Source organism: Homo sapiens, chromosome 8 (assembly GCF_000001405.40).
Source record: "Homo sapiens chromosome 8, GRCh38.p14 Primary Assembly".
Taxonomy (NCBI): domain Eukaryota; kingdom Metazoa; phylum Chordata; class Mammalia; order Primates; family Hominidae; genus Homo; species Homo sapiens.
In genome coordinates this window covers 20,528,752-20,540,042 of record NC_000008.11, presented here as the reverse complement: position 1 = coordinate 20,540,042, position 11,291 = coordinate 20,528,752, and positions in this window count along the sequence as shown.

Below are 11,291 nucleotides of genomic sequence, written 5' to 3'. Positions count from 1 at the left end.
GACTTCTTGGTAGAAATTAACAACCTCCAGGCCGGGGACGGTGGCTCACACCTGTAATCCCAGCACTTTGGGAGGCCGAGGTGGGCGGATCCTGAGGTCCGGAGATCGAAACCATCCTGGCTAATGCGGTGAAAGTCTGTCTCTACTAAAAATACAAAAAATTAGCCGGGCGTGGTGGTGAGCACCTGTAGTCCCAACCACTCAGGAGGCTGAGGCAGGAAAATGGTGTGAACCCGGGAGGCAGAGCTTGCAGTGAGCCGAGATAGCGCCACTGCACTCCAGCCTCAGCGACAGAGCAAGCCTCCATCTCAAAAAAAAAAAAAAAAAAAAAGAAAAAAAAAGAAATTAACAACCTCCAAAGAACCAAATAGTAAATCAATTTTCAAAAAAGGGGATAGACTTGAAAAGCTTAAACTATTTGATTTCAGGACTCACAATAAAGCAAGAGTAATCAAGACAATGTGGTATAGGTGAAAAAATGCTTTATAGATGAGTAGAACAGAATAGAGAGTCCAGAAATAGAGTTACAAATTTACCATATTTACCGTAAGGTAAATTGATTTTCAAGAAGGCTGCCACGGTAATTCAAAAAGGTAATTCAATAGTTCTTTTGATACACTGTGCTAAAACAACTAGATAACTGCATTGTAAAAAATAAATAAATAAATATATGTTAACCCTCAATTCACACTATATGCTAAAATTAAGTTGAAATAGATAACAAACCTAAAGGTTAAATCTAGAACTAAAAAAAATAAATAAAAATTAAATTCTAGAAGAAAACAAAAGGAAGTCTTTAGAACTTGAGAATCTTTAACATCTAAGCAAAGATTCTTTAGAACACAAAAAGCATTAACTATGCAAAAAATAAAATACATTTTACTTCATCAAAACTAAGACCATATACTCTTTGAAAGGTACTATTAGGAAAGAGAAAAGGCAAGCCACAGGCTAGGAGAAAATAATTCATGGACTGCATAGATCTGACAAAGGACTTACATCAAGAAAATATTTTTAACATTATTTCAACTCAATAGGACAAAAAAATTATTTTAACAAGCAAAAGATTTGAACACTTAACAAAAGAAGTTGTATAAATGATCAAAAGCATGTGAAATGGTGTTCAACATTCACGGTCATTAGATTAATGCAAACTAAGACTACAATAATATATTACTCTACACCCACTAGTACGGTTTAAATTTAAAAGACTGCCAACAACAAGGGTTGGTGAGGATATGGAACAACTGGAACTCACATTCATTGCTGGTGGACGTGTGAAAAGCCATGACCACTGTGGAAAACAGTGACAGTTTCTTTAAACTTAAACCAATACTTACCTTATGGTTTCCAGCAATTCCACTCCTGGATGTAAGAAAACTGAAAATATATGTCCACAAAAAAGAACTGCACATTATGTTCATAGCAGATTTATTCATAGCAGCCCCAAATTATCAACAACTCAAATGCCTCTCAGTAGGTGAAAGATTAAATAAATTATGGTATATCCACATAATAGAATTCATATAATGGCAGTAAATAGAAATAAAGTAGTGATACTGACAACAATATGAATGAATCTCAAAAGCATTATGTTGAGTGACAGAATACAGACACAGAAGAGTACATACTGTTCCTTTCCATTTGTATGAAATCCTAGAAAAAACAAACTAATCTGTGATGGCATATCAGTGATTGCTTGGGGCCAGGTATGAACTATAAATAGGGATACTTTTAGGGGATGATAAAAATGTTCTATATTTTTATTGTAGTGGTGATTATATGAATGTCTTCATGTCTACATTTTTTAAAACCTACCGAATGGGTATATTTTATGAAAATCATAGTTCAATAAAGTTAGTTACAAAAACAAAAAAAAAAACAAAAAAAAAAGCCCAGATTTTTACTATGACCTAAATGGCCCGACACAGTCTGGCCTGACGATTGCCTCTCCGATCTCACCTTCTATTATTCTCACCCTTATTATCTTCACCAGCTTCAGAGTCCTTTTACCTGCTATTCTCTCCATCTGGAATGTTTTTGCTTTAGATATTCACCTAGTTGGACACCTTATGCTCTCTGATTCTTTACTTAAAATATCATTTCTTTCAAGACGCTTTCTATGAGCACACTAACTCATCTCAAACCTTTCTCTCATGCTTTCTACCCCTTTTCCTGCTTTAGCTTTTCTCTCATGCTGATAGAAAGTGTGGCTTTCTATGACCACACTATCTCATCTCAAATCCTTCTCTCTCATGCTTTGTACCCCTTTTTCTGCTTAGTTTTAGCAGCTCTCACTGCTTTGCAACATACTGATTTAGCCTGGTTATTGTCTGTCTCATCCCATGAAGAATTTAAGAATTTTAATTCAAGAATTTATGCTCCATGAGGTCAGATATTTTTGTCTGTTTCTCTTCACTGCTATTTCCCTAGAGCCTGAAATGATGTCTAGCCATGGCAGACATGGCCAGCTGTGGCAGAGATAGCCAGCTATCCTGCAAAGAGTCTCATAAAATACATAAAATACATATGTCCCTGTGCACAGCCAGGGACAGCATTTCCCAGCTGCCTTCCTCCAAGTGTGTTGCAGGACAATTCTTGCTAATGAAACGTCAATAAAAGTGATATGTGCCACTTCTAGGTGAAAGTGGGTAAGATGTAAGTGGGGTACACCTTCATCACCCTCTCTTTCAACAACCACCAGTTGGAAATGAAAGAGTCTGAGAACCTAGTGGATGGGGCAGCCACAAGATGGAAGGAGCCTGGGTCCCTGAATCATGACATGGAAGGCATGCGGCAGAACATTCTAGACCTTTATGTGGAGAAAAAATAATTAACTTTTATTTTTCTTAGGTGAGGAAATTCATTTGCCACAGCAGCTATTATTACTCTAACTAATAACTGGCACAGAGTCCGTGCTCAATAAATATTTTTGGAATGAACAAATAGATGTCATTAAAGAACAATACATACGTTCATAGTAAATATATAATCTAGTATCACACCATGTAACAGCCCATGCCATATTGCATACTAACAATGCACTACTGGCTACTGACTGCACCTGGAAGTACAGTTAGCAATTTCATCAATTAGGCTCTGTTTGCTGGAAAATAATCATGTGTGAGCTTAATTAAAACTTTTTGCCTCAGTGACAGTTGTTAGTACATTGAAAGTATGGGCTGATACTGAGATACAGTGTGAAAATAAAACATAGCAATGATAATGCTTTCCTACATTCACTATTCATGAACACTGTTGGCAAAAACAAAGGAGAGGATATTACTTAAAAGCCAGAAAAGTAGATATGTGATGAAAATGTATGCAGAATCCCCAATGAACATACATTCTAACCATGAGGCAGGAGGGTGGGGAGTTATGTGGGTCAACTACCCCTCATTTAAACACATACCCTGTAGATGCAATGTACTGGGATCTACAGAATTTGAAAGGACCCTTCACCCACCCACCCCAACACAACGCAGCCTCGCAAAGGACTTACTTTGATTCTTTATGACCATCAGGTGAAGTTTCAGGACTCTGGGACAGAGGCTCTGTATAAGATTCATCAAAGTGACTTTACTGCTCATTCATTTCCATTTAAGGAAAAGTTAACCAACGTTCAAATAATATTTGCACACTCTCAGTCCTTGCTTAATTGAGATGACTTTCAATCCGGTCTTCCGAAGTTGAAATATTTAGGAGAATCCTGTTCACACTCCGTAACCAAGGTCCATGGGCATGAGAAACCATCTGTTCTGAAGGGGTTGGGTAACTGGACCCCCATTCCCGTCTTCTCTGGACAAAAGCCGTAGGCCAGTGGCAACAACCAACCACCAACTTTCTTACCCTGTTTGGGGCACAAAATTGTCGTTATTCTCCAATATAAATACGAAGTAGGAAGTAAAAATAATGTGGACCGAGAGAGATTTCTCCCAGGAATTTTGCAAACTTTACGTATTCTTTCTCCTTGTTTCATTATATATAATATATTCTGGAAAGGACTCTATGAATCTTAATGAGACCAACTTGGAAAAAAGAAACAACAGTTTGGGTTTGTTGATACCATATCACTCTCATGAAACAAAAAGAAATATTACTTACATAATAGGTGTCAGGGAATCTACAGGACCATAAATGGGTTATTTTTTAGACTCTTCTTTACAAAATGAAGTTACATTAGCAAATTTTGAGGTCAAGGACAATACTTCATATTTTGTTTGCTCTTCTGTAGAGCCTAGCACAGTACTGCATACAGTAAATATTTAGTAAATATATATGGATGGATGGAGTCACATCTGTGACTACTTGTGTTAAACTTCCAACAGTAGCTGCCTAATGTCCACAACTTTGGAGAATTCACCAATTCATTGGCAATGCCTTGGTGTACATTTTCTTCTACTTATCTTTTTGCTTAATTAAGATCTTTGGCCTCAATCAGAGATGTCAGGGCGTGAACATATTTGTCAAGGCTGCTGCTGGGTTGACGTGTGAGATGTGGATGCCTGAATACCTGCCTGGAATATGAGCAGCATTCATTGGCTAACAGCCCATAACAAAGGTACAGAATAGTCCTTAGTCAAAAGACTATCTTTGGGAGAAAAAAAAAAAAAAAGAGCAATCAAAAGTCACAACTCATGAATTTCTAATAGTTTGTTAGTGAATGAGTAGTTCAAATGTCACCAAGGTCTCACTGACTTGCAGATAGAAATAAAGTAACAATAAATCAGTAATTTGTAGTTCCTGTTCTTCTTCCTCCATGGAAATTCTAAACCTATCCTCAAAAATTTCCGGGAGCCCCAGATGCAGATTTATCTTTATTCACAAACCTGTGTGTCAGGCACACTCCCCAAAGAGCACCTCCCATATCCTTCCCTGTCTTGGAGAGAGGCCACTCACAGAAAAACCACCTAAAAGCCTCATCGCTGCCACAGCGGAGTCCCAAGTTAAGGGAGAAAACGGACAAAGTTCACCTCCTTCTGGCTTCCTGTTTCATTTTGTCCTACATTCCCCAGAAAGCCCTCAAAATGTCTCCTACAGATAACCTTTTTTTTTGCTTCTTACCCTAGCCCTTCTCTTCCTAGGAGCCTTTGGCTATTTCCAACAAGAGGGGAAGGAAACAGAACTTGGGACTCTCAGCTGTGGCAGACAAGATGTTATCTCTTCTTTTTCTTCTTTTCTCTTACAAAATCATGTCTTTTGCAGGAACGTGGTTGGAGCTGGAGGCTATTATCCTTAGCAAACTAAGGTAGGAACAGAAAACCAAATACCGCATGTTCTTATTTATAAGTGGGAGCTAAATAATGAGAACTCAGGAACAAAAAGAAGGAAACGACAGACACTGGGGTCTACTTGAGGGTGAAAGGTGGGAGGAGGGAGAGGAGCAGAAAAGATAACTACTGGGTACTGGGCTTAATACCTGGATGATGAAATAATTTGTACAACAAACCTGCATGATGTGGGTTTGCCTATGTAACAAACCTTCACATGTACCCTTGAACCTAAAAGTTTTAAAAAATATTTCTTCCACTTTCTTCTGATAAAACAAAAGTTCCACAGTTAGTAGAAGGCACTAGAGCTTGAAGCTGAGGAGGTGCAGTGAGTCATTTCTCTCCCAATTCTTGGCCCTTCCAGGACATGCCGATATCGGTGCAAATGAATCCATTGCTATGAAATGCACACACCTACAGATGGTGACACGTAGGTACAGCTGGGGGAGCAGACCTCACCCCAGCATAACTGCCTGGAGAAAGCCACAGGGATGATCGGCAAGTTTTTACACCCCCCACAACCACATCTCATCTCGCTGGTATTATTGATAAGATGAAGGAAAAAACCTGTCCTCTTGGATTGGTGGACTCTTTCTTGTGTCCACTTCAGCCACCGGTGACTCAGAAGGCTGGCAAGACCTCTTCCTCCACTCATTCGTGAGTCTTCCATCTCAGTTCCTCTGGCCTGTGTAATGTTGTTTCCCTTCAACTGTGGTCCTGTCCAGTCCCTGCCCCTCTTCCTCCCCCATCCTTCAATTCCTTCTTCACCTCGTCTTCCTCCCACCTCCTTCCCTTTAGGTCCCTTTTCTTGAGAAGCCACTCCTTCCAGCCTTCCCACCATCCTCTGCCATCCCATGGCTCTTCTTCACTCCCTCTGCCCAGAAAGCTTCATTTCTCTCCATCACGCTGGTTTCACTAGTGCAACTGAGCCTTTTCTTCTTATTTTCTAGAAACACTCAATAAATCCACAATGCTTCAAATAAATACCAGGTGCTCAAACCCTTTACAGCAAGAATCCCCTCATGAGGCTGGACCTCTGGGTAGAATGAAGTGTGTGTTCCTCCCCATCACTCTCCCAGCCCCTGTCACCTCTGTTTCATCACTTCAGCTTCTGTTAGTTTTCGGAACCTTAAGAGTCTCCTTGCTGCTGCTTCTGCAAATTAAGAGGATGATTTTGAAGGAGAGCCTTCAACCCAGAATCCTAACATCCTGCTAAGGAAGCTGTGGTATAATGAAGTGCTGCTGTGATGGGGGAAGAAGGGTTTCTAAGCACATGTGTGCATGCACATATACACACACACCTGCTGTGCAAAGCCAAGTGCCAGCAGGAAGCTAATGGCACCCTAAGCTGGGCTGAACTCCGAAGTCAGAGGGGACCATCCCTCATCCCTGACACTCACAGTCCATTAATATCTGCTTATGCTCTGTGGCAGAAAGAAGAGAATATAAAGAAGAGATTCCCTCTGAGTTTGGATGTGTCAGCATCTCTTATTTCCCCCAACCCATACAAGCAAGGAAACACATAGCATTCCGAGTTAGTAAAATGATATACAAAATAGTTTCTGTATGATACACACTCTAACCCCAAGCTTTTTATTCAGAAAACAGAACAGTAGCTAGTGATTTTTTCAAGGCCACACTGCTAATTCATGGCAGTTACAAGAAGAGACTTAGAAGAGGTGCCTGAAATCTCTGTCCAGGGCTCTGTCTTAGGTAGCACACACCTGGAGTGAGGTCAGCTACTGACTAATTTGTCACTACTCTACCTTAGCCATTTAGGAACAAGTTGAAGCTGGCCATTAGCATTTATAGGAGGGGCTCGATTCCAGAAAATATGGTTTGTGGAAAACCACATGGAAGAACAAAAAGATAAATTGAGAATGGCTATTAGTGTTTAAAAAAAAAGGACTCTCTATTTCATAAAATGATTCACCATAGAATTCCCATGAGCAACAAACACTCCCATTACATTAAAATATGATCCTATTTGCCAAAATTCTCGTTTTATACAACTTTTTAGGAACATGTTATTACATCAAGAAGTACAGAGCTGCCTAAATAATGTGCAAACAGCATCCCTGGGGGAAGTTCAATTGTAGAACCGAAGTAAATTTTCATCTGTGTTGGTGAGACATGCCCCAAAACATATTCAAAGGGTATTAATCCAACCTGGATTGACAGGCTGTTATAAAAAATAGAAATCTCAAGTGTAAATAAGAGATGAACTTCAGTATTAGTCCCTCCATTTGGGGGTGGAAGGAAGGGGCTCTGAGAAGCTGGAACCAGGTCAGCTTGAATCTCAAGAATGGAGAAGGACTAATGAAGCTGCGTAATAATGAAGTCTTGCCATGTTGAAGAAGTGTTTCTAGGCACATGTGTGCACACACATGCCCATACATCCATGCCATGCAAACCCAGGTGCCAAGAGGAATTTTTCTATTTCCTATTACTGTTTAAGCAACATGGGAGACTTCACTATTGGCCAACAATATGAAAATAGCATTACTTGAGCAACTGCTAATGCCAGGCATTGGGCATACACAGGAACTTCAAATGCGCTGTCACCCATTTCGGCCCCACCACCCAAAGTGAAATGTTCATTCCAAGCTGAATTTGTATGCCCATGTTCTCTCCCTCTCCGTGCAGCACACACTTTGTCAAAACAAGGGACAGTTCACGACCTCAGAGCTACGCCATTCAGGAGCAAGATGAGATGAGGACTGTTCAAAGCTCCCATGAAGAGCCTGCCTCCGCTTTCTATCCCTGATGTGAGTGTGGACAGAGGCTGAGGGGACAGCACAAAGCCCTCCCCTCCATGTCTGAACTGTGCTGCTCAAGGCTGAAAATCTACATGGCTTCTCTTCTCCTGAGGTCCCAAGGCCATGGATAGAGCTTCCTGCAAACATCTGAATGCACAACTTTTTCCTATAAAAAATAGAAGTCTCCGCTGGGTGCGGTGGCTCATGCCTGTAATCCCAGCACTTTGGGAAGCCTAGACGGGTGGATGACCTGAGGTCAGGCATTTGAGACCAGCCTGGCCAACATGGTGAAACCCTGTCTCTACTGAAAATACAAAAAATTAGCCGGGCGTGCTTGCAGACACCTGTAATCCCAGCTAGTCGGGAGGCTGAGGCAGGAGAATCACTTGAACCCAAGAGGTGGAAGTTGCAGTGAGCCGAGATCCTGCCACTGGATTCCAGCTTCGGTGACAGAGTGAGACTCCATCTCAGAAAAAAAAGAAAAACAAATCTCAAGTGTAAATAACCGAGATGAACTTCAGTATTATTTCCTCCATTTGAGAGTGGAAGGCAGGGACTCTGAGAAAGAAGAACTAGCAGGAAAAAGCTGGCAGTACTTTCTACTGCCTCTCCTTGTGTCAAGGCAGCCCCTCTTGTCCCTGGCATCTCTGCAGTCCCAGCAGACATAAGACAGCACTGACCTGAGCCTATGTGTCTCCTGGACCACCTGCAAGATCTCTCTGTTTGGAGTGGTGGCACGCACGACAGCCAGGCCTCCCCAGTCCGCTGCTCTACCTTCACCCGGCCGTGGGTCGGCCATTGGATTTCATTGTATTTTTTCCTAGCTTTCTTCTGCTGGCACAGCGGCTTCTCCACAGTGTCAGTCGAGAAGAAATCTTTTCATTATGGCTCACAGCTGTGATCCTCGGGTTAAAAGAAATTACTCATGAAAGGGCAGCCTGGGGTAGAAAGCAGCGGCATCAGAAGAAACCCCAGCTTCCAAGGGAGAAGGAACTTCAAGGATTTATTGACATGAGGGAGATCACAGCTCTGGCTTCAGGCCTGGCTGCTGACATTTGCTATAGATTTAGGCACTGCAGTTTGGCTAGGAATTATTTTTTAAATCAAGCTAAGAGGTCATAGTGAGGTGTTCTGATCTGCTGATGATGGTTTTGCTGATGCCTGGGCAAAATTAAGAGAGAGTAATGGGAATCATTTTACCTTTCCTCTTCCTTAGCTCCTGTTAGTCTCCTCCTCCCCACTTCTACTCTTTCCGCCTTTGTTCTAATCCCATCTTGAAACTTTTTCTTTTTTCTTGTCCTTCTTCTTGTTCCTCCTGCCTGTCACTACTTCTTTGGAGTGGCCCCAAGAGAAGAGCAGAGCAGAGCCATTCGCGGCCAGAACACCCAGGTGACAGGGTCTGTGTGCAGCCCTCACACCAGGCTTGCCTTCCTAGCCTCCAGTACCCCGCCCAGTACTCAGCTCTGGGAAGAAAGAACCCAGGCACAAGAGACAAAAGCAACCATCCTGCATCACTTACATAGTGCTTCTTAATTTTTAGAGTCTTCCCTAAAGCTGCTGCACCTTTAAAGCTTCACCACAACCCCAAGCAAATCAGCAAGGATGTCGATGCCTCCGTTTCACAGAGGAGCCCACTGATCTCCCTGGAAAATATTTGCAGAGCCAGCAGGGCCAGAGACTTCCAGGAGGAGAACCAGGTCTGGGCTATCAGCTAGGTCTGGGCTATCAGTGTTGAAATCCTAAAGTCTGAAGTTAGAATGAAGAACTTTCAAGATTACCTACTGCAGTTCCTTCACTTTCTGGAAGAAGAGACTGAGGCTCAGAGAGGGAGAGCAGCATCACCGAGGTCACACCTTCATGGTTCTAAGACAAGGCTAAGTCAAAAACCAGTTCTACTGCTTCCTACACCAGGGAGAGGAATACACATCATTTTTCTACTTCCTACTACTCTTTAAGCAACATGAGAGACTCTACTATTGGCCAACAATATGAAAATAGTATTACTTGAGCAACTGCTATTGCCAGGTATTGGGCATGTGCGAGAACTTCAAATGTCCTGTCACTATGCTGTGAGTCTATTTTTTTTAATGATTTGTTTCAAGCAGCTGAAGCTCAGAGATATTAAGTGATTTGTCCAAGATCTCAAGGCTAATGAGTAGAGGCCTGGATTCAACTCCAGTCCCATCTGGCTCTCCAGCAATTCTTTCCACCTTCACAGGGCTGTGGCAGCACTAACTGCTGTCAATAAAAGCCATGTTTCAACAGAATGTTTGCCTCTCAGATCAAACCATCTACCCCTGGGGAAAGCCAGGTGTGGCTGTATTTAGAATCCAGGGCAAAAAGCTCAAAAATGGAGAATGACAGCTTTCTCCAAGAAAGCTTATCCCTCTGTTCCTGGAACTTTGTTTTTGGTTATCAGGAGAGAAAAACTGAGTGGGGCAGGATGTATGTCTTCTAGCTGAGCTGCTAGTGAAAATGTCTTTTCAGGATGCATTTTTGATGGCTTTCAGTGGAATGATTTATGGAATGATGGGAAAGGACTATTCTTTTTTTCTAGTGGATCCCGAGAATTTGGCAAGAGCGGCTGTGCTTGTTTTTCAAATAGCTTTTTCATGCACTGTCCCGAGATTCCACACTGTGCCTGCTGCTATGGATTGTTCAAGCACCCTGCTGTACCCGCTCTGTCTTGGGAAAGAAAGCCCAAGATAGGGGTGTGAGCAGCACTCATGGATGCTTCCACCCTGTCCTGGGCCCCTGAAGTAGCTTCCTCCCTGGGGTAGAGCTGGTCAGAGAGCCAGTGTCTTCAGGGGCCCAACTGGGAGAACAAGTCAGGCTACTGCATAAATATTTGAGAAGGCTTTAAAAAGCTGTGAACAGATGGGGAAGAATAAAAGAAAATCTTTTTGTGCCCTCTGCTCATTTCTCATACCAGTTTTCTCCCCATTTTAGCATGCACCAGGATCTCCAGGAAAATTCATTTTCTAGATCCTGTCCTCTGAATCATTTAATTCAATAGATTTCCAGGGAGGCCAAAAGCCAGCAGCCAGCACTTTTGCAAATATCCCAGTTAATTCTCATCAGGTGTTCAAGGAGCCACAGTTTGTAGACCCACAACCGAGTGCTTCCAGCAGGGCTATGAGTTTTACTGTGTCCAGAAACAGGCAGATAGTGAGAGCACTTGTCTAGGTGTCAAGAGACATAGCTTCCACTCAACTATCCACTAGAAGAAGGGTCTAGGAAGGGTGGAACCTCAGAAAAAAAA